Raw genomic sequence first — 24,931 nt, forward strand, 5'->3', positions numbered from 1 at the left:
ATTTTAACTTGGCTTCTGTCTTCTGGTCTAGTCATCTTATCTCAGGCCTGTTGACCTTTCTCCTTCTATACAACCTCTCTATATCTTACCACTCCAACTGGGAATCATTTCCAGTCTGTGGGCAGAGAGAAGTTGGGTCCTACCAATGTTACGCATCCAAACAGTCTCCTACTCGAAAGTGAACTGGCTACTTAACCCAAGCCTCACTAGTGAAAGCTAGGAATAGAGCTGTGGAAAAAAAAAAAATATGTCAATGAGGGCTGGGCATGGTGGCTCATGCCTGTAATCCCAGCACTTTGGGAGGCTGAGGCCGTTGGATCACCTGAGGTCAGGAGTTTGAGACCAGCCTGGCAACATGGTGAAACCCTGTCCTTACTAAAAGTATAAAAATTGGCCGGGCGTGGTCATAGGCACCTGTAATCCCAGCTACTCAGGAGGCTGAGGCAGGAGAATTGCTTGAACCTGGGAGGCAGAGGTTGCAGTGAGCCAAGATCGCGCCACTGCACTCCAGCCTGTGTGACAAGAGTGAAACTCCATCTAAAAAAAAAAAAAAAAATAGGTCTATGAGAAGACGAAGTCCCCACTACTCAGTTCTCTGAATGCTTGGGAGTCATTTGAAAAAGCAGATTCTGAGGAAGAAGAGTGAGGAAATGGTCAGCACGACTAGCGAATGGGAGCTTCTTGTCAAAGTGAGGAGAATTTCCATGAGTGGCAATGGAAGGATATACCCTCATGGCCCTGTTTCCTGTTATATGGGAATGTACAACATATTAGCAGGTTACTACAGGAAGGGCATATGCATATATGATTCCAGTGGGCTGGGGGTTGGTGAAAATATCCCATCTCTTCCCCTTTCTATTTTCTGATCACCAGTCTTTTCTGTACATTTCTTTTTTTTTTTTTTCTTTTGAGATGGAGTTTCACTCTTATTGCCCAGGCTGGAGTGCGAAGGAGCGATCGTCGCTCACTGCAACCTCCGCCTCCCAGGTTCGAGCGATTCTCCTACCTTAGCCTCCCAAATAGCTGGGATTATAGGCATGCGCCTCCATGCATTTCTTTACCCACCTGGCTGCCGTGGCACTCACCCAGGCATTCACTCTATATTTTATCAAGCTCCAGTGCTCAGTGCACATTTGGTAATTGCAAGTAAAAGACCTCAGTTTAAAATTTCTCATAGAGAAAACTTGATTGACCGAATTTGGGTAAAATTTCCAACTCTGACCAAGGAAGTTTTAGTCATTGGGATCAAGATCAGCACAGCTTTCTGGGAGTGGTGGGTCATACAATTTATTTAAGAAGAGTTTTGCCTGAAAGGAATGCTGAAGTTCCCTAAATTACTGTCTAATCATTTTATGCATTCTATTGTATAAACATAGTAAAAGGTGTTTTAGAAGCTATTCTACAGTTGTGGAGTCTATACAGTCTAGGGATATACATGTAGAGAAAAAGTGGTTTTTTTTATTATTTTTTTAACTTTGGATTATGGCAAAGACTCACTCTATAACTCTGTCTTGACACTGTGATAAATTTCATTTATAAAGTAAATCAGTTGCTTAGATGACCACATTAATTAACATGATCAATTATTCTTTTTTAATCATATATGCTTAGGAGCAAATTTTTTTCAACTTTTATTTTAGATTCAGGGGGTACATGTGCAAGTTTGTTAAAAGGGTATATTGCGTGATGCAGAGGTTTGGAAGACAATTCATTCCATCCCCCATATACTGAGCATGCTACTGAAAAGTTCGTTTTTCAAACTTTGTCCCCCTCTCTTCCTCCTGCCTTGAGCAATTTTCAGTGTCTAATATTTATATCTTTGTGTCCCTGAGTGCCCAAGGTTTAGCTCCAACTTATAAATGATAATGTGCAGTATTTGTTTTTCTGGTCCTACTTTAATTTGCTTAGGATAATGGCCGCCAGCTGCATCCGTGTTACTACAAACGTGATTTTATTATTTTTTTTATGGCTGCATAGTATGCAGTGTTATATATGTATCACATTTTCTTTGTCCAATCCACTGTTAATGGGCACCTAGATTGATTCCATGTCTTTGCTATTATGAATAGTGCTGCGATGAACATACAAGTGCATGTGTCTTTTTGGTAAAACAATTTGTTTTCCTTTGGATATATACTCAATTGTGGGATTGCTGGTTTGAATGGTAGTTCTGCTTTCTGAGAAATCTCCAAACTTATTTCTTTGAGAAAAAAAGAACTCTCCAACTGGTTTCCACAGTGGTTGAACTAATTTACATTCTCATAAACAGTGTATAAGTATTCCTCCTTTTCCACACCCTTGCCAGCACCTGTTATTTTCTGCCTTTTTAATAACCATTCTGACTGGTGTGAGATGGAATCTCATTTGTGGTTTTGATTAGCAATTATCTGGTGATTAGTGATGTGGGGCATTTTTTCATGTTTTTTGGCCACTAGTATGTCTTCTTTTGAGAAGTATCTGTTCATATCTCTCTCATTTTTCAATGGGATTATTTGTTTTTTGTTTGTTGAGTTGTTTAAGTTCCTTATAGATTCTGGTTGTTAGACCTTTGTTGGATGCATAGCTTATGAATATTTTCTTCTATCCTGTAAATTATCTGTTTACTCTGTTGATAGTTTATTTTGCTGTGCAGAAGCTCCTTAGTTTAATTAGGTACCACTTGTCCATTTTTTGTTTTGTTGAAATTGACTTTGACAACTTAGTCATACATTCTTTCCCAAGGTCGATGTCCAGAATGGTGTTTACTAGGTTTTCTTCTAGGATTCTTATAGTTCGAGGTCTTACATTTAGGACTCTAATCGATCTGAAGTTAATTTTTGTATATAGTGACAGGTAAGGGTCCAGTTTCATACTTCTGCATGTGGTTAGCCAACTATCTCAGGACTCTTTATTGAAAAGAGAGTCCTTTTCCCATTGCTTATTTTTGTCAAATATGTCAGAGATCAGATGGTCATAGGTGTGTGGCTTTACTTCTGAGTTCTCTATTCTTTTTCATTGGTCTACATGTATGTTTTCATACCAGTACCACGCTGTTTTGGTTACCATAGGCATATAGTATAGTTTGAAGTCAGGTAATGTGATGCCTTCTGTTTTTTTTTTTTTTTCTTTTTGCTTAGGATTGCTTTGGCTATTTAGAATAGTTGTTTCTACTTAAAGAAAAATAACATTGATAGTTTTGTAGGAATAATGTTGAATCTCTAGATTTCTTTGGAGAGTATGACCATTTTAATGATATTGACTCTTCCCATACATGACTATTGAATGGTTTTCCATTTGTTTCTGTTATCTATGATTCCTTTTAGCAGTGTCATGTAGTTCTCCTTGTAAATCTCTTTTGCCTCCTTGGTTGACTGTATTTCTAGGTATTTTATTATTTTGTGGCTATTGTAAATGGGGTTGCATTGTTGATTTGGCTCTCAGCTTGGTTTTTGGTGTATAGAAATGCTACTAATTTTTGTAAGTTGATTTTGTATCTTGAAACTTTGCTGAAATCATTTATCAGTTCTAGGAGCCTTTTGGTGGAGTCTTTGGTGTTTTCTATGCATAGAATCATATTGTCTGCAAAGAGAAATCATTTGAATTCTTCTTTTCCTATGCAGATGCATTTTGTTTCTTTCTCCTGGGTGATTACTCTGGCTTGCACTTTCAGTACATGTTAAATAGAAATGGTAGGAGTGGGCATCTTTGTCTTGTTATAGTTCTCAGGAGAAATCCCTCCAGTTTTTGCCCATTCAGTATGATGTTGGCTGTAGGTTTGTGATAGATGGTTCTTATTATTTTAATAAGATAGTAAGAGGGCTCTTATTATCTTATTATATCCTTTTGATGCCTAGTTTCTTGTGGGTTTTTATCATGAAGGGATGTTGGATTTTATCAAAAGCCTTTTCCATGTCTATTGAGATGATCATATGGTTTTTGTTTTTAATTTTTTAATGTGGTGAATCACATTTATTGATTTGCAAATATTGAATCAACCTAGTATCCCATGAATGTAGCCCACTTGATCATGGTGAATTAACTTTTTAATGTGTTGTTGGATTCAATTTGCTAGTATTTTGTTTAGGATTTTTGTGGCAATGTTCATCAGGGATATTGGCCTGCAGTTTTATTTTTTTGTTGTGTTTTGCCAGGTTTTGTTATCAGGTTGATGGTAGCTTTGTAGAATGAGTTATGGAAGAGTCCTTCCTCCTCAGTTTTTGGAATAGTTTCAGTAGAATTGGTACCAGCTCTTCTTTGTACATCTGGTAGAATTCGGCTGTGAATCTATTTGATGAAGGGTGTTTTTGATTGGTGGATTTTTTTATTACTACTTCCATTTTCGAACTTGATATTGGTATGTGATATAGTTTAAATATTTGTCCTAGCCTAAATTTCCTGTTGAATTCTAATCCCTAATGTTGGAAGTGGGGCCTGATGGGAGATGTGTGGATTATGGAGATACATCTTTTATTAATGGCTTAGGCCATCCCCTTGGTGAAAAGTGAGCTATTGTTCTAAATCCATATAAGATCTGATAATTTAAAAGTGTGTGGCACCTCCCACTCTCTCTCTTTTGATCCCACTCTGGCCATGTGACATGCTTGCTTCCCATTTGCCTTCTGCCATGATTGTAAGCTTCTTGAGGCTTCTCCAGAAGCTGAGCAGATGCCAGCACCATGCTTCCTGTAAAGCCTGCAGAACCATGAGCCAATTAAACCTCTTTTCTTTATAAATTACACAGTCTCAGGTATTTCTTTATAGCAATACAAAAACAGCCTAACACATTCTGTTTAGTGTTTCCATTTTTTCTTCATTCAATCTTGGGAGATTGTGTGTTTCCAGGAATTTATCCACTTCCTCTAGGTTTTCTAGTTTCTTGCATAGAGATGTTCATAATAATCTTGAGGGTCTTTTTTTAATTTTTATAAGATTGGTTGTAATGTCATCTTTGTTGTTTTCAATTGTGCTTTTTTGGTTCTTCTCTTTTTCCCTCTGTTAATTTATCTACTGGTCTACTGATCTTGTTTATCCCTTCAAATAACAAACTTTTGGTTTTGTTAATTCCTTATATGGATTTTTGGATCTCAATTTCATTCAGTTCTACTCCAATATTATTTCTTTTCTTCTGCTAACTTTGGGTTTAGTCTGTTCTTGTATTTTTGCTGCCTCTAGGTGTGATGTTAAATTGTTAATTTGAGATCTTTCTGACTTTCTAAGGTATATATTTAGTGGTATAAGCTTTCCTCTTAACACTGCTTTTGCTACGTCCCAGAGATTTTGGTACATTGCGTCTCCCTATTCATTTATTTTAATGAATTTGATAATTCCTGACCTAATTTCATTGTTTACTCAAAAGCCATTCAGGAGCAAATCGTTTAACTTCTAGGTAGTTGTATAATTTTGAGAGATCTTCTTAGTATTGGTTTCCATTTTATTCCACTGTGGTCCAAGAATATGGTTGGCATTATTTCAGTTTTTTTGAATTTATTGAGATTTGCTTTATGACCAAGCATGTGTTTGATCTTGGAGTTTATTGTGTGTGCAAATTAGAAGAATATAATACTGTGGTTGATGGGTGCAGTATTCTTTGGATGTTTATTAGGACCAGTTGGTCAAGTGTCCAATTTAAATCCAGAATTTGTTTGTTTTCTGCCTTGATGATCTAACTAATACTGTCAGGGGGGTGTTGAAGCCCTCCACTATTATTTTGTAGCTGTCTAAGCCTTTTTGTAGGTCTAGAAATACTGATTTTATCAATCTGGATGCTCCAATGTTGGGTACATATATATTTGGGATAGTTAAGCCTTCTTGTTGAATTGAATACTTTATCATTATGTAACACCCATCTTTGTCTTTTTTACTGTAGTTGGTTCAAAGTCTGTTTTATCTTATGTAGGAATTATAAACCTTGCTCTTTGTTTATTTTCTGTTTGCATGGTAGATCTTTCTCTAATGCTTTACTTTGAACCTGTGGGTATCATTACATGTGAGACTGGTCTACTGAAGACAGTAAGTGGATGAGTCTTTTTTTTTAATCCAACTTGCCAGTCTGTGCCTTTTAAGTGAGGCATTTAAAACATTTACATTGAAGATTAATATTGATATGTGAAGTTTTGATCCTGTTGCTAAGTTGTTAGATGGTTATTTACAGTTTTTACTGTGTGGTTGCTTTATAGGATCTGTGGGTTAGGTACTTAAGTGTGTTTTTGTGGTAGCAGGTATTTTTTGGTTTTGTTTCCAAGTTTAGAATTCTCTTAAGTATCTCTTATAAGGCTGATCTAGTGGTAACAAATTCCCTTAGCACATGATTGTATGAAAAAGATTTTATTTCTTAATGATGTTTGTTTTGTGTAGTATCTTGCCAATTTTCTCAGGAATTCTTTTATCTGGATGTTAATCTCTCTAGCAAGATGAGGAAAATTTTCTTGAATTACTGCCATATGTTTTCCAGCTTGTTTCCTTTTTTTCCTTTTCTCTCTGAAATGCCAATGATTCATAGATTAGGTAACTTTACATAATCTCATATTTCTTGAAGAGTTTTTTTCACTTTAAAAATTCCTTTTCTTAAATTTTTGTCTGACAGAGTTAGTTCAAAGGAGTGGTCTTCAAGCTCTGAAATTCTCTCCTCTGCTTGGCCCAGTCTGCTTTCAAGTATATTTTGATATTCCTTAAGTGAGTTTTTTAATTCTAGAAACTGAAATTGATTGCTTTTTAGGATGTTTAGCTCCTCCTTTATTTCCTGGATCGCTTTAGAAGTTTCTTTGTGTTGATTTTCAACTTTGTCTTGGATCTCTTTGAGCTTCATTGCAATCCATACTTTGAATTCTCTATCTATCAGTTCTGAGTTTCCATCTTCCTTAGGGACCACTGCTGGAGAGCAAGTGTGATCCTTTGGTGGTGACACAATATTCAGGTTTTTCATGGTGCCAGAATTCTTGTGGAGATTCCCTCTCATCTGGAGATGCTGGCACTTCTAATTTTTGTATGCATTTTTTGGCATGATAGATTTTTATTTTTCTTTCTTTCCATACAATATTATTATTTGTTTATTCTTTCCTTTTCCCTTTCTTCCCTCCCTAGAGGGTGTGAACTTAGAAGATGCTGGGTAGGGTCTTTTGGCTTTGCTTCTATAGCCCTGTGCACTTCTGATGGCAACTTTTATACTGGGCCGTTCAGTTTGACCTATAAGCTAGCAGATGGCACTTATAGGGAGGAGCTGGCTTCAGTCAATGTGGCTGGCTATGTACTTTTCCTGGTTTACCAGGAGAAGCTCTCTGTTACCTCAGGCAATGGGCTTATTTGTGGAGTTCACAGTGATCTTAGCTCCTTGCTCAGTTCTGGAGGAGCAGGGGCCAAGATTAGCAGGTAGGTCTGCCTCCCTGTGCTTCTCCAGTGGCAGGGAGAAGCACCAGCACTAAGGGAGAAGCCAATGGGTGGCTACCAAGTGCCCAGAGGTGTGCCTAGGCATGGAGCTGGTAAACCTAAGCCCCAAGTTCTCCACTTGGGGATGAGGGGCATCCCAACTTTTAATCCATGAGAATGGGTGAACCAGATACCTGGAGATATGCCTGGGTGTGTAGCAGAGAGGGCCCCCTTTCACCAGAATCTCTGCACAGGAAGGGTGGGGCAGTACAGGCTGCTGTTCCAGACAAGTGGCTGCCCTCCATGCCTAAAGATCTGCCTCAGTCTACAGCATAGAGGACACCCTGCACCCAGTTCTTTGCTCAAAAAAGGCAGTTTGTCTCGGGCTGCTCAGTTAGGTGAGGTGGTACTCCAGATACCTAGAAATTTGCATGCACATGGAGCAAAGAAAGACTTGCTGCACCACAATCTAGGTCCAGGAAGGGCAGGGCAGCTCAAGCTGCTAAACTAGGTGAATGGGTGCTCTAAATGCCTGGATATCTTCCTGGGCACGGAGTGGAGAGGGCCCCACTGCACCTTGATCTATGTTCATGAAGGGTGAGACAGCTCATGCTGATGATTCAGGCAATCAGGTGCTCTAAATGCCTGGATATATGCCTGGGGGTGGAGTGGAGATGGCCCCATTTCACCGTGATTTCAGGGAAGCAGGCTGGGGCACCCAGCAATGGCATCCACAGACTGGTTCCAGGTCACTGAACTGGCTCTACCTGCAAGTCTCACTGCCTAGGATAAACTGCAGCTTTAGAAGCTCTCCCCACCCTAGACTTGTCACAAGGAAGAGCACAATTCCAGCGCCTACTGTTGAGGTGCTTTCCACAGTTCTGGCTGTGGAGGCCACAACCCGGCCCCAGAGCAGGCACTCCAATGTCTGGCCTGAGACTCAAATGTCTGTGTGACCATGCTGCCAGGTTACCAAAGAATGGCTGACCAGATCATGCAACCAGATTAAAAATGTTGTCCTCCTCTCAATCCCAGGTCTAGGAAAATGTCTGAAGCTTTTCCCACTGTCTTTCCCTCATGGCATCTCCAAGCCTCTCCTCAAGTTAGTTTCAGGGTTTGAGAGAAACAAAGTGCTCTCCCTTGGGTTGCTCAGATCCCTAGTGGAAAGGTGAGTCATATAGGGCAGCTCTCTGCATCTCTCACTTACTGAGGCTTCACTTACTTTTGTCAGGCAGATGCCATCATTGGGATTTTTGCCAGCATTCTCTCTGAGATCTTGGATGCTTTTCATTATTTCAGTAGATTCCTGTTTTCCTTCTTGAATTAACACTGAGTTTATCTTTATGCACTATCTGTCTATTTCCAAATGGCTGAGGCATGGTAAAAGCATATAATCTAGCATCTTTGGAAAAAATGGAAGCAAAATTATGTAAGTTTTGAATACCATGTTGTAGGATAATAATATAGATGTATTTTTGCTTAAAGCCAAACTTTTTTATGTTGTGTTGTCATTGTTGTGGGGTTTATTTGTTTACTAAACTCTGCAAGAGGTAAAATCAGATTACACTGTAATATTTGCTATATGAGATATTTTCTTCTACTAATTGCAAGCTAAAAATAAGTTAACCAATGGCTCCCTGTTAGGAAATTAAAAATACAATTTCATATGTTTCTTACGAGGACTAAAGAACCATAAACCTCTTCTTTGCGTATAAGGATGGCAAAGAGCTCAATTTTTTTCTGAGCAATTTTGTTCCCTTTTCTGAATGGTAAATTTAGTATTATTGAATAATAGACTACAACGATTTAATCTTGAATTATTTTATCAAAGGACACTTAGGTTATTTTATTTATTTCCAAGAGTATTTCTTGTATTTAGTTTATGTTTGCTTATACGTGATAGAACATATATGAATCTATTCTGGATTACCAATATTGAATAACAAAAAGGATGTTTGGCAGATTATAGACAAATATTTTAGAAAGCATATTCTGCTTAAAATTTTATTTTTCATACAGTCACGAGTAATCAACTCATAACTAACCTATAACTTAATGTCGATGCCCCAAAGCTAAAGAGAAGGTCCATAGGAAAATAAGAAAATAGATGTAAAAAGAAGTACTTCTAGAGACATGAAATTTCAGTACAACAAATAGATAAATCTAAAACTTCCTTTAGAATTATTTTCCATCTATAATTTGACTTATCAGCACCATTTGTTGATATCACACAATAAAAAAAGACTTCAAAATTCAGAATATAAAATTCTAAACCCTGCCCGATACTAATCAGGAGTAAAAACAAAATAAAATATTTTAAGGCTTTCAAATCTTGAATTTACCTCTCATGTTCCTTTTCTGAGGATGGTTCTTAATGATATCATTCGTGATAATGAATCAGAAAACAGAAACAGAAACTAAGAAAGACAAATTGTGCAATATAAGAAGCGAGGAAATTCACCCTGGAAGCTAAAGAAAACAGACTCTAGAATGACAGCGTTTGGTAAACACAGAAAATAATTGGCAGTCTTAGAATAGGAATTTAGTGGGCTACAAGACAAACATCTTTGGAGGAATTAAATGGACATCAGCAAGATGATTGAATAGGGAGCCCTAGCCTCTCTTTCCTCTAAGGAGAAAGCAATTCAACAACAATACAGACCATTTCCCTTTGTGAGAAATCCAGAAACCAACTAAAAGGTTCCAGCATCCCAGGCAAACACAAACCCAGCTGCACCAATGCCAGTAGGAAGATTCATGGCAAACACTTACCATAGGCCCTCTTCCTCAGTGCAATGCAATTGAGAGAAAACTCCCAGATCTCAGTTTCTCCCTTGGAATGGAAAGAGAAGACTGAAACATATGTCCAATGTTGAGACTTTTTCAGGAGCTGCCCAAGGGACTGGTTTATGTCCTGACTAGAAGAACACTGACAGGAAGGGGTGCCAAGTTGAGAGCTGCTGAGAACAAAGGCAAAAATTTGGACCCTTCACTGGCCATGGTCGCTTCCTCTGGCTCAGTAAATAAAGAGTAGAAGAAAACCTCTAACTCCTTGCTTCCTCCTGGAGAGGAAAAGAAATAAAACCAGCAACCAAATTTCTGGCTTTTGGCAGCCTATCTGAGAGGACTAGTTTTTATCTTGCTATCTCAGAGCCATATATGACAAGCCCATAGCTAACATCTTGCTCAACAGTTAAAAACTGAAAAATTTTCCTCTCAAATCAGGAACAAGGCAAGAATGCCCAATCTTGTCACTTCTATTTAACATAGTTCTTGAAGTCCTAGCTAGAGCAAATAAGCAAGACAAAGAAATAAAAGGCATTCAAGTCAGAAAGGAAGATGTAAAATGATCTCTATTAGTAGATTACATGGGTACACAAAAAATTCTCAAGATTCCACAAAAAAAAACCTGTTAGAACTAATAAATTCAGCAACATTGCAGGATCCAAAATTATCACAAAAATTACTTATGTGGCTATACACTAACAATGAAATATCCAAAAAGAAAATTAAGAAAACAATCCTTACAATACTTACAATACTTACAATAGCATCAATAAATATAAAATACTTAGGAATAAACTTAACCAAAGAAGTGAAAGTCTTCTACACTGAAAAACTATAAAACATTACTGAAAGAAATTAAAGAAGACACAAATAAATGGAAAGACATCCCATGTTCATAGATTAAAAGACAAGATTGTAAAAATGCCCATATTGCCCAAAGAGATCTATAGGTTCAATGGAATCCCTATCAAAATCTCAGTGGCATTTGTTGCACAAATAAAAAAGCATCCTTAACCTCATATGGAACCATAAGAGAGCCGAACTAACCAAAGTAAAATTGAGAAAAAATAACAAAAAAAAAAAGCCTCACACTTTGTGACTTCAAAACGTATTACGAAGTTATAGTGATTAAAAATTTGTATATGGGACTGGCATTACAGACATATAGACCAGTGTAACAGATTAGAATGGCCACAAATAAATCTACATATATATGATTAACAAGCATGACATCCTTCAACAAGGATGTCAAGATGTCATCATTGTTGACATCCTTCAACAAGGATGTCAAGATGGCACTATGGGAAAAGGATAGTCCCTTCAGCAAATGGTGTTGGGAAAGGTGGCCATTCACATGCAAAAGATAGAAATTGGACCTTTATCTCACACCAAACACAGAAATCAATTCAAAATAGTCTGTGATTTGTCTTTTTCTGTTTTGTTTCCTTTTAAATTTTTGTGGGTACGTAGCATGTGTATATATTTATGGGGCACATGAGATATTTTGATACAGGCATACAATGCATAGTAATCACATCAGAATAAGTGGCATATTCATTACCTCAAATATTTATACTTTATTCGTGTTACAAACAACCCAATTATGCTCTTTTAGTTATTTTTAAATGTACAATAGATTATTGCTAACTGTAGTCATCCTGTTGTTTTATCAAATACTAGATCATATTTATTCTATTTTTTGTACACGTTAATCATCCTTTATGCTTCACCCCTACCCAAAACCCTTCCCAGCCTCTCATAATCATCCTTCTACTTTCTATCTACATAAATTCAATTGTTTTCATTTTTAGCCTCCACAAATAAGTGAGAACAGGCAAAGTTTGTCTTTCTGTGTCTGGCTTATTTCACTTAACATAATGACATCCAGTTCCATCCATGTTGTTAAAAATGACAGAAATAACAGTCTTTTTTTTTTTTGCGTCTGAATAGTACTTCATTGTGTATATGTACCACATTTTCTTTATCCACTTATCTGTTGATAGACAGTTACATTGCTTCCAAATCTTGGGTATTGGAATACTGCTGCAATAAATGGGAGTGCAGATACATCTTATATCTTTGATATACTAATTTCCTTTCTTTTGAGTATATACCTAGTAGTGGGACTGCTGGATTCTATGGTAGTTCTATTTTTAGTTTTTTGAGAAACCTCCAAACTGTACTCCATAGTAGTCATACTAATATACATTTCCACCAACAGTGTACAAAGGTTCCTTTTTCTCCATATCCTTGCCAGCATTTGTTATTGACTATATTTTGGATACAAGCTATTTTAATTGGGGTGAGGCAATATCTCACTGTAGTTTTTATTTGCATTTCTCTGATGATCATTGATGCGGAGCACCTCTTCATACATCTATTTGCCATTTATATGTCTTTATTTGAGAAATGTCTTTTCAGATATTTTGACCATTGTTTAATTGTATTATTAGATATTTTCTTAGAGTTATTTCAGTTCCTTATATATTCTGGTTATTAATCCATTGTCTTATCAATAGTTGCAAATATTTTCTCCCATTCTGAAAATTGTCTCTTCACTTTGTTGATGGTTTCCTTTGCTGTGCAGAAGCTTTTTAACTTGATGTGATCCCATTTGTCCGCATTTGCTTTGGTTGCCTGTGCTTGTGGAGTATTACTCAAGGAATCTTTGCCCAGTACAATGTCCTGAAGAGTTTCCCCAAGGTTTTTTTTTTTTAGTAGTTACATAGTTTGAGATTTTATATTTAAGTCTTTAAGTCATTTTGATTTAATTTTTGTATACAGTGAGAGATAGAGGTGTAGTTTCATTCTTGTGCATATAGGTATTTTGTTTTCCCAGCACCATTTATTGAAGAGACTGTCTTTTCCCCAATGTATGTCTTGGCACCTTGTTAAAAATGAGCTCACTGTAGGTGTGTGGTTTTATTTCTGGGTTCTGTATTCTGTTCCATTGGTCTATGTGTCTGTTTTCATGCCAGTGTCATGCTGTTTTGGTTACTATAGCTCTGTAGTGTAATTTAAAGTAAGGTAATGTGATTCCTCCAGTTTTGTTATTTTTGCTCAGGATAGCTTTGGCTATGCTAGATCCTTTGTGATTCCATATAAATTTTAAGGTTGTTTTTTCTATATCTGTGAAAAATATCATTGGCATTTTGACAGGGATTGCATTCAATCTATAGATTGCTTTGGGTGGTATGGGGATTTTAACAATATTTATTCTTCCATTCCATGAACATGGAATATCTTTCAATGTTTTTGTCCTCTTTAATTTCTTTTGTCAGTGTTTATAGTTTTCATTGTAGAGAACTTTCACTTCTTTGGTTAATTCCTAGAAATTTAATTGTATTTGTGGCTACTGCAAATGGAGTTACTTTCTTGATCTCTTTTACATATTCTATACTCTTGACATATAGAAATACTACTGATTTTTGTATATTGATACTGTATCCTGCAACTTTACTGAATGTATCAGTTCTAATAGTTTTTTGGTGGAGCCTTTTGGATTTTCCAAATACAAGATCATATCTGCAAAGAGGGATAATTTGACTTCTTCCTTTCTAACTTATATGCTCTTTCTTTCTTTGTCTTGTCTGATTGCTCTAGCTAGGACTTCCAGTGCTATGTGGAATGCTGTTGAACGTGAGCATCTGTGTCATTTTCCAGATTTTAGAGAAAAGGCTTTCAGTTTCTCTATTCAGTATGATACTAACTGTGGGTATGTCACATATGGCATTTATCATGTTATGTTCCTTCCATACCCAGGTTTTTGATGGTTTTTTTCAATAAGTGATGTTGAACTTTATCAAATGCTTTTTCGACATCAATTGAAATGATCATATGGTTTTTATCCTTCATTCTGTTGATATGATCTATCACATTGATTTGCATATGATGAGCCATCTTTGCATCCCTGGGATAAATTCTGCTTGATCATGATGAATGACCTTTTTAATGTATTGTGGAATTCAGTTTGCTAGTAATTTTTTGAGTATTTTTGCATCAATATTTATCAGAGATATTGGCCTGTCATTTTTTTATGTGTCATTGGTTTTGGTATCAGGGTAATACAAGCCTTATAGAATGAGTTTGGAGATATTCTGTCCTCCTCTATTTTTTGGAACAATTTGAGTAGAATTGGTATTCGTTCCTCTGTAAAAGTGTGGCAGAATTAAGCAGTCCATTGGGTTCTGGGATCTTATTTACTGAGAGACTTTTTATTGCAGCTTCAATCTCATTGCTTGTCATTCATCTGTTCAAATTTTGGATTTCCTCATGGTTCAACCTTGCTAGATTTTATGTGTCTAGGAATTTGTCCATTTCTTCTAGATTTCTTAATTTGTTGGCATATAGTTTTTCATAGTAGCCACTAATGACCCTTTGAATTTCTACAGTATCAATTGTAATATCTCCTTTTTCATCTCAGATTTTATTTACTTAGGTGCTTTCTTTTTTCTTATTCTGTCTAATGTTTGTCAAGTTTATATTTTCAAAAAACCAACTTTTTGTTTTATTGATCTTTTATATTGTTTGCATTTCAAATTCACTTATTTCTGCTCTGATTCTTATTTCTTCTCTTCTCCTAATTTGGGATTTGGTTTGTTCTTGCTTTTCTTGTTCCTTAAGATGCATTGTTAGGTTGTTTATTTGAAGTTTTTCTTCTTTTTTGATGTAGGCACTTATAGCTATAAATTTTCCTCCGAGTGCTGCTTTTGCTATATCTCATAGATTTCAGTAGTTCTGTTTCCACTAAAATTTGTTTCAAAAATTTTTTCACTTTCCTTCTTAATTTCTTCATTGACCACTGGTCATTAAGAAGCATATTGTTTAATCTGCATGTGCTTGTATAGTTTCAAAAATTCCTCTTGATATTGATTTCTAGTTTTATTCCATTATGGTCAGAGAAGATGTTTGATATTATTTCAAAATTTTGAATGTTTTAAGTCTTGTTTTGTCACCTGATATATGGTCTATCCTTGAGACTGACCCTTATGCTGAGGAGAAGAATATGTATTCCATAGCCACTGGATGAAATGTTCTGTAAATTGGTATTAGGTTCATTTATCCTACAGTGCAGAGTAAGCCCAATATTTCCTTATTGATTTTCTGTCCGGAAGATCTCTCCAAAGATGAAAGTGGGTTGTTAAAGTCTCCAGCTCTTATTATATTGGGGTCTATCTCTCTGTGTGTCTCTAATAATATTTGCTCTACATGTTGGGATGCTGTAGTGTTGGGAGCATATATATTTATAACCATTGTATCGTCTTGCTGAATTTACCTCTTTATCATTACATAATGACCTTCTTTGTCTTCTCTTATTGTCTTTGTCTTGAAATCTATTTTGTCTAAATATAGCTACTCCTGCTCTTTTCTGTTTTCCATTGTCATGGAATATATTTTTCTATCCCTTTATTTTCAGTCTATGTGTGTCTTTGTAAGTGAAGTGTGTTTCTGGTAGGCAACAAACCGTTGAGTCTTATCATTTTTATTTAATCCATTCAGCCAGTCTATGTCTTCTGATTGGAGAGTTTAATCTATTTGTGTTCAATGTTATTATTGATAAGTAATGACTAACTTCTGCATTTTATTTGTTTTCTGGGTTTTCTTTTGTAGTTTTATCTTCCTTCATTCCTTCCTTCCTGTCTTATTTTTGGTGAAGGTGAGTTTGTCAGATAGTATGTTTTAATTGCTTGTTTTATTTTTTGTGTATACGTTGTATGTTTTTTGGTTTGAGGTTACCATGAGGTTTGCAAATAATACCTTATAACCCGTTATTTTAAACTAATAACAACTGAACTTTAATTGTATAAACAAAGAAACCAACAAAGAAGCAAAAGAAAAACTAATAAAAACTTCACACTTTATCTTCCCACTTTTAAACTTTCTGTTGTTTCTATTTATATCTTATTGTACTGTCTATGTCTTAAAAAGTTGTTGTAGTTATTATTTTTGATTGGTTCCCCTTTTATCTTTCTAGTCAAGATATGACTAGTTTATGATGTTATAATATTCTGTTTTTCTGTGTATTTACTATTACCAGTGAACTCTGAAACTTCAGATAATTACTTATTGCTCATTAACATTCTTTTCTTTCAGCAGTATACTTCAGATGAGATTGGTGTGTTCAGGGTGGTATGGACGTAGACACAGCTGTATACTTCAGATTTTTGGTTCATGTTAAGTAACTGTTTAAGATTCACATTCCAAAGAAAATCATGCTACACAAAAATTATCCAAGATTTTCGCCCTAAAAAATTATTGGATAAAATATAAAAAGTACTATTGTAATTGTGTCTCTTGTGAATAAAACATCATTCTATATGTAAACAGATTCACTCAACCCTTTGGTTGTAGAAAACTTCAGAGTCGGTAAGTTGCTGTCTAACTTCCTGTTGCATGCACTTGCCAGAGAAAAGTGAACAATGCCTTCTGTGCCAGCATCATTTGGGGATGAAAAGAATCATTTCACATAGCTGAAGGGGGCAGCCTGGTGCTTCCAGAGAAAGGCAATGAAAACCACAGGGAATAAAGTACTGAACACCGCATTGCAAGTTTGCATGAGGGGGGCCACACTGTTGGCTACCATGGAGAAAAAGACCAAAAGGACTGCCATGACAGCAAGGAGGATGTCGATGACTTTGTCCAGAAGATTCCAGGCAGTGGCATTCTCCAGCCCTTCTAGCTCCACCACCTGCTAGTGCTGCATCATGAATATCCAGCTCCATCTTAGAAACGCAGGTCTGGCATGCCTCCTGGATTTCCCAGGCCCATCCTGATATGCAAATTTTTTCCCTGCTGACCAGTTCCTGCTTCAAGTTCAAGATTTCATTCTGGTGAAGCTCCTTTAGGTCATTCCTTCTTCAAGTTCAAGATTTCATTCTGGCGAAGCTCCTTTAGGTCATTTCGTTCTTCTTCTAATCATTCACATCTATTTCACTCCTCCCATAAGGTCTTCATTATTAACAAATTGTCCCTCTGGTAATGTTCCTTGAGAGTGTCAAAGGATTTCTCTAGCCTGGCCTGGGTTTCCCAGATCTCCTGGATCTCATGTAATAGTGCATCAAACCCCAGGCTTTGTATGTGCAGGGTATTCTTTTTGGAGCTGGATGTTCCTACAGTTATGCCACCAGTGGTGCTGTTGACTCCCACTGAGCCTAAAATAGTCCTAGGACAATCTTCCTGACTGCCATATTGTGGGCATCACTGAAAGTTCAAAATCACTCCCAAAGCCTTCCCCTCATCATCCACTTGCCCTACCTCTAAACAGTACTTTAGGTTACAGATGTCGTCTGTACTGCCAAATCTGTTCCAAATCATTGAGGCAAAATCTCTGGGTTTTGAGACCATGGTCCCTATTGCTGAATAGCTGGCCTGAGAGAAACTGGAAAATCTACCTTTGACACCACCTGCCACACCTTCACTGAAGCCAGTCACCTTCACTCCCACATCCTTCAGACCCTGCTGCATGTTCCTAAAGACATCCTTTGGTTGCTGGGGGATCCCATTCTACTCCACCTCTTACAGCATCCTGTGGTAGTGCTCAAGCTTCTTTTGTACCTGGAGGATGATTTGGGCAGATTTCTGGTTCTTCTTCTCGAAGTCCTGCTTGATTCAGCCAGCCTACTACTTGTCCGAGCTGTTGGCAAGCTTCAAGTACTCAGCAATGCTGTCATCCCAGGCTGTGCAATCTTGATCTGTTATGTGAGCATCAGGATCTTCTGCTGCAGGTGAAAAATAGCAGGATTTTTTTTTTCACTGAGGGTCTGCTGTTCCATCCATGGAGTCTGTGTGAATGCTGTCATTAGTACTGGAGACCACTGCACTGGATGTCTGAGTGAGGCTGCTTACTTCCAACCACTTAATCCACTCTGCAGTTCCCTCCTCTCTTGGCAGACATGCAGCAGCAGCAGCACATGTTATTTCCATTATAGTGAAGCTGATAGGGGCATCAGCTGTGGATGAAGACCTGGGTTGACCTGACTGCATAACAGCTGTCATCTCCTAGCCATATTTCCTGATTTGGGAACTTCCCTTGGGGCTTCTGGCTTGTCCTACCTACTACGCAGGCTTGTTCCTCTCTTCATCTAAGGTGGCATTTTAATCTTCTGTAGGACATGATTCAGAGCTGTGGAGTGGGTGGAGACACCATCAGTCTCAGCACATGCATTCTGGCTTTCCAGATCCATTTCAGGTTCTGGATTGGCCTGAATTTGCTGCACATGGTATGGAGACACTGATGTCCTCCTGTGCTGGTGCTGGAAGAGATCCTTCAGGCCTTAGCCAATCACATTAACGTTTTTCATAACATTGTGGGTCATTTTAGACAACTTTTTTCCTGATTCTATATGCTTTCCAGCCTCTGCATCTTGTTGTTTGCCTCTAGGATCAGAGTCCTCATGTATTCACTGCCCACAGGCTCCATCAGTAGACTTAATATGCTTATTTGCAAACTTATTTTCTTTAACACACCAAGAGTGTTAAATTATGTAGGCATTTGCTTCAACAATGACTGTGCATGCAGCCATGAGATTAAGGGTTCATGCCGCCTTCATTACTCTTCCTCAAGCACTTCTAAGGTATATGAGAATCATTTTAGGAAAAGCTCCTAAAAATCCCAACAATAGCTTTACTTTCTTTGCATAGATAAGGATGAACAATTGTAATCCAAAATGTTTCCCAAAAAGTTCTCTTAAAAAATCATAGAAACAGAAGATCCATATGAAAAGAGAACCAATCTAGGAGGATGGATATTGTGTCTTCTAAATCTTGTGACCAAGAGCAACTGTTCACCAAATGTTAGCATCTGTAGAAAGTACTAACTGTGAATGTGTTTTCTCCAGAAATTACTACTGGTGGGGAGGGGAGAAGCAGCCAGAGTCTTCACAAGCACCATCTTTCAAGCTCAAGTGCTGCCTCCAGCCACTGATGCCATGTCCCCTGGTTGATCCCTTCCAAGCAACCTCCTCATGCATCTTGCCCCAACCACCTCAGTCACCACTGCTTGTGACTTATCCTAATTCTTTTGCCATTGTCTTTCATAAGGCAGGAGTTTTTAATTTTAATGAAGTCCAACTTATCAATTATTTCTCGTATGGATCATGCCTTTGGTGTTTTATCTAAAAAGTCATTACTATTTCCGGGATCATTTAAATTTTATTTTAGCTTATCTTCTACAGTTTTATAGTTTGTATTTTAAATTTATGTTGATCATCCATTTTGAGTTAATTTCTGTGAAAGATGTTAAGTGTGTATCTAAGATTTATATTTTGCATGTAGATGTTCAGTTGTTCCAGCATCATTTGTTGAAGAGACCATCCTTGTTCTATTGTATTGCCTTCACTCTTTTGCAAAAGATCAGTTGACCATATTTATGTGGGCCTATTTCTTGGCCCTGTATTCTGTTCCATTGATCTACTTGTTCATTCTTTTGCCAACAACACATTGTCTTGACTACTGTAGCTTTATAGTAAATCTTGAAGTTATGTAGTGTCAGCCATCTGATTTTGTTCTTCTGCTTTAACATTGTGTTGGCTATTCTGGGTGTTCTGCCTCTCCATATGAACCTTACAATCAGTTTGTTATCTACACAATAACTTGCTGAGTTTTAAAATTGAGATTGCATCAAATCTATAGATCAACTTGAAAAGAACTGACAATATTAAGCCTTCCTATGCATGAGCATGGTATATCTTTTTATTTATTTAGTTATTCTTTATATGTGTTATCAGAATTTCACAGTGTTTCTCACATAGATCTTATACATATTTTGTTAGATTTATACCTAAGTATTTCACTTTGGGAGGTGTTAATGTAAATGGTAAAGTGTCTTTAATTTCAAGTTTCACTTGTACATTTTTGCATCTGTGTTTATATGTAGAAAAGTGATTAACTTTTGTATGTTAACCTAGTATCCTGCAATCTTACTTTAGTTATTTATTAGTTTCAGGAGTTTTGTTGATTATTTGGATTTTCTACATAGATGATCAATTCATCTGTGACCATAGTTTTATTTCTTCCTTCCAATTTTATTTCCTTTTCTTGTCTTATTGCATTAGCCAGATATCCAGTATGATAGTAGAAAGCAGTGCTGAGAGGAGACATCCTTGCTTTCTCCCTGATCTTAGTGGAAAATCTGCAAGTTTCTTACCAATAAATATGATGTTAGCTGTAGATTTTTTGTAAATATTCTTTTCTTAGTTTGCTGTGAGTTTTTACCACGCATAGGTGTTGGATTTTGTCAAATACATTTTCTGCATTTGTTGATATAATCATGTGGCTTTTCTTCTTTAGTTCGTTGATATGATACATTGCATTATTTTATTTTAAATGTTAAATCAGCTTTGCATACCTGGTATAAAACCCACTTGGTCATGGTGTACAATTTTTTTAGACATTGCTGGATATGATTTGTTAATATTTTGTTGAGAATTTTTGCATATATGTTCATGAGCAATATTGGTCTTTAGCTTGGTTGTGTGTTTGTTTTTTCCTCGTGATGCCTTTTGTCTTGTTTTGGTGTTTGAGTAATGCTGGTGTCACAGGATGTGTTCAAAAATACTTTTTCTGCATCATCTTCTGGAATAGATTATAGAAAATTGGCATAATTCTTCCTTACATGTTGGGTAGACTTCATGAATAAAACAGTTTGGACCTGGTGATTTCTATTTTGGGAGGCAATAAATTATTGATTCAAATTATTTACTAGATTAGCCATGCTCATATTGTCAACTTTTTCTTGATTAAATTTTGTAATATTATATGTTTCAGCAATTGGCTCATTTCATCTAGGTTATAAAATCTGTGGGTATAGAGTTGTTCATAATTCTTTATTATCCTTTAAGTTTCAATAGGATCTGTGGTGATCTTACAATACTAGTAATTTGTGTCTTCTCTCTCTCTCTCTCTCTCTCTCTCTCTCTCTTACTTTCTCCCTCTGCCTCCCTCTTCTCCCACTCCCTCTTCCCTTCTCTCTGTTAGCCTGGCTAGAGACTTATCGATTTTTTTTATTTTTTCTTTTGTTTTGAGGCAGAGTCTTTCTCTGTTGCCCAGGCTGCAGTACAGTGGCACAATCCCAGCTCACTGCAACCTCTGCCTCCCGGGTTTGAGCAATTTTCCTGCCTCAACCTCCTGAGTAGCTAGGACTACAGGCATGTGCCACCGTGCCCGGATAATTTTTGTATTTTTAGTAGAGACTGGATTTCACCATGTTGGCCAGACTGGTCTCGAACTCCTTGGCCAGACTGGTCTCAAACTCTTGACCTTGTGATCTGCCCACCTCGGCCTCCCAAAGTGCTGGAATTACAGGTGTGAGCCACCATGCCCACCCAAGACTTATCAATTTTAATGATGCTTCCAAAGAACCAGCTTTCAGTTTTGTTGATTTTTTTCTATTGGTTTTATTTTTTCAATTTCGTTGATTTCTGCTCTAATTTTTATTATTTATCTTCTTCTCCTTACTTTGGATTTAATTTAAACCTTTTCCCCTAGTTTCTTAAGGTGGAGGCTTAAGTGATTAATCTTACATTTTTCTTTTTCTGTAAACATGTATTCAATACTATAAATATTCCTCTGAACATTCATTTCATTGTATTCCACACATTTTGATAAATTGTATTTTCATTCTCATTTAGTTCAACATATCTTAAAATTTCTCTTAAGATTTCTTCTTTGATCCATGGGTTACATAGAGGTGTGTTGTTTAATCTCCAAATATTTGGAGATTTTTCAGATAACTTTCTGTTTTTTTCGATATTATTATTATTTTTAAGTTCTGGGATACATGTGCAAGATGTGCAGGTTTGTTGCATAGGCAAACGTGTGCCATGGAAGTTTGCTGCACCTATCAACCCGTCACCTAGGTATTAAGCCTAGCATGCGTTAACTCTCTGCCCTAATGCTCTCCCTGCCACCCACCCTCTCCTGACAGGCCCAGTGAGTGTTGTTTCTCTCCCTATGTTCATATGTTGTCATTGTTCAGCTCCTACTTATAAATGAGAACATGTGGTGTTTGTTTTTCTGTGCCTGTGTTAGTTTGCTGAGGATAATGGCTTCCAACTCCATCCATGTGCCTGCAAAGGAAATGATCTCATTTCTTTTTATAGCTGCATAGTATTCCATGGTGGATATGTACCACATGTATCCAATCTATAATTGATGGGCATTTGGGTTGATTCCATGTCTTTGCTATTGTGAATAGTGCTGCGCTGAACATATGCGTGCATGTATCTCATAATAGGCTGATTTATATTCCTTTGGGTATATACCCAATAATGGGATTGCTGGGTCAAATGGTATTTCTGGTTCTAAATCTTTAAGGAGTCACCACACTGTCTTCAGCAATGGTTAAGCTAATTTACATTCCCACCAACAGTGTAAAAGCATTCCTATTTCTTTGCAATCTTGCCAGCATCTGCTGTGTCTTGACTTTTTAATCCCCATTCTGACTTGCGTGAGAGGGTATCTCATTGTGGTTTTGATTTGCATTTATCTAATGAACAGTGATGCTGAGCTTTTTTTCATGTTTGTTGGCTGCATATATGTCTTTTTTTGAGAAATGTCTGTTCATGTCCTTTGCCTACTTTTTAATGGAGTTGTTTATTGAATCCTCAATAAAATTTACAAGAAAATTGTAAATTTGCTTAAGTTCCTTGTAGATTCTGGATATTAGGCCTTTGTCAGATGGATAGATTGCAGAAATACCTCTTTGCAAGTAAACTGGAAAATCGAGAAGAAATGGATAAATTCCTGGACACATAGACTCTCCCAAGACTGAACCAGGAAGAAGTTGAATCCCTGAATAGACCAAAACCAAGTTCTGAAATTGAGGCAGTAATAAATAGCCTACCAACCCCCCAAAAAAAAGCCCAGGTTCAGATGCATTTACACCTGAATTCTACCAGAGGTACAAAGAGGAGCTGGTACTGTTTCTTCTGAAATGAAAAGGAGGGACTCCTCCCTAACTCATTTTATGAGGCCAGCATCACCCTGATAACAGAACCTGGCAGATATACTACAACAAAAACAACAAAAATAAAACTTCAGGCCAATATTTCTGATGAACGTTGATGGAAAAATCCTCAATAAAATACTTGCAAACTGATTCCAGCTGTACATCAAAAAGCTTATACGCTACCATCAAGTCAGCTTCATCCCTGGGATGCAAGGCTGTTTCAACATATGCAAATCAGTAAATGTAATTCATCACATAAACAGAACTAAAGACAAAAACCACATAATTATCTCAAAAGATGCAGAAAAGACCTTCAATAAAATTCAACATCCCTTCATGTTAAAAACTCTCAATAAACTATATATTGAAGGAACATACCTCAAAATAATGGCCATTTATGATAAACCCACAGCCAATATTATATTGAATGGGCAAAAGCTGGAAGCTTTCCCCTTGAAAACTGGCACAAGACAAGGATGCCCTCTCTCACCACTCTTATTCAACATAATGTTGGAAGTTCTGGCCAGGGCAATCAGGCAAGAGAAAGAAATAAAGCGTAGTCAAATAGGAAGAGAGGAAGTTGAATTATCTTTCTTTGCAGATGACATAATCCTATATCTAGAAAACCCCATCGACTCAGCCCAAAAGTTTCTTAAGCTGATAAGAAACTTCAGCAAAGTCTCAGGATACAAAATCATTGTGCAGAAATCAGAAGCATTCCTATACATCAACAACAGACAAACCAAATCATAAATGAACTCCCATGCATAATTGCCACAAAGAGAATAAAATACCTAGGAATACAGCTAACAAAGGAAGTGAAGAGCCTCTTCAAGGAAAACTATAAACCACTGCTTAAGGAAATCAGAGAGGATACAAGCAGATGGAAAAACATTCCATGCTCATGGATAAGAAGAGTCAATTTGTGAAAATGGCCATACTGCCAAAAGCAATTCATAGATTCCATGCTACTCTGTTATTAATTATAGTTTAATTCTACTGTGGTAGAACAGAATATTGTATGATTTATATTCATTTAAACTTGTTAAGGTGTTATTTTCTTATCCAGCATGTGGTCTGTCTTGGTGAATGTTCTGCGTAAACTTGAGAAGAAGATAATCTCCTGTTTGTGATAAAGTGGCCTATAGACCTCAGTTAAATACAGTTTATTAACAATGATGTTCAGTTAGACCATCCTTATTTTCTGCCTGCTGGATCTGTCCATTTCTGACAAAGGGGTGTGAAAGTCACCAACTATAATAGTGAATTCATCTATTTCTCTACACAGTTATATCAGATTTTGCCTCATGTATTTTGATGTTCTATTGTTAAGTGCATACATATACACATTAAGGATCATTATGTCTTTTTTAAGTATTTGCCCAACTATCATTAGGTAATGCTCCACTGTCCCTGACAACTTTCCTTGCAGTGAAGTCAGCTCTGTCTGAAACTACTCTTTCTTTTGGTCACTGTTAGCATGGCATATCTTTGTTTACTTTTTATCTATATGTGTCTTTATAATTAAAGTGGGTTTCCTACAGACAACATATAGTTGAGTCTTGTTTTTGATCCAATTTGGCAATCTCTGTGTTTTCTTTGATGTATTTAGGCCACTGATACTTAAGATAATTATTGATATATTTGTATTAATATCTATTGTACTTTTTGCACTTTAATATTTGTTGTACTTGTTCTTGGTTCTTATTTTTGTCTTCCACATTTTTTTTCTTTTTGTGGTTTTAAGTGCATTTTAAATTATTCCCTTTTCTCCCCTTTCTTGAAATATTCATTATACTTTTTTATATTTTTTTAGTCATTGCACTAGAGTTTGCAATATACTTTTGCAACAACTAA

At 36.7% G+C, this 24,931-nt stretch overlaps 1 long non-coding RNA gene and 1 pseudogene across 1 annotated transcript in view, besides 1 other annotated feature; both read right to left on the reverse strand.

Annotated features, from left to right (window-relative positions):
• LINC03084 (long intergenic non-protein coding RNA 3084) overlaps window positions 1-10,373 on the reverse strand; it is a 45,936-nt gene extending 35,563 nt beyond the window's left edge. The window contains exon 1 of the long non-coding RNA NR_187537.1: window positions 10,114-10,373. This is a non-coding gene — a long non-coding RNA (long intergenic non-protein coding RNA 3084). The remainder of the gene's footprint in view (window positions 1-10,113) is intronic.
• Window positions 6,086-6,286: a silencer, noted in NCBI's record as "peak7138 fragment used in MPRA reporter construct". NCBI's record gives its function as "represses an SCP1 promoter by STARR-seq MPRAs in K562 erythroleukemia cells {active_cell/tissue: K562}" and the evidence as "EXISTENCE:reporter gene assay evidence [ECO:0000049][PMID:32103011]".
• TMCC1P1 (transmembrane and coiled-coil domain family 1 pseudogene 1) lies at window positions 16,278-19,083 on the reverse strand (annotated as a pseudogene).

The sequence above is a fragment of the Homo sapiens genome, chromosome 8, assembly GCF_000001405.40.
Source record: "Homo sapiens chromosome 8, GRCh38.p14 Primary Assembly".
Lineage (NCBI taxonomy): Eukaryota > Metazoa > Chordata > Mammalia > Primates > Hominidae > Homo > Homo sapiens.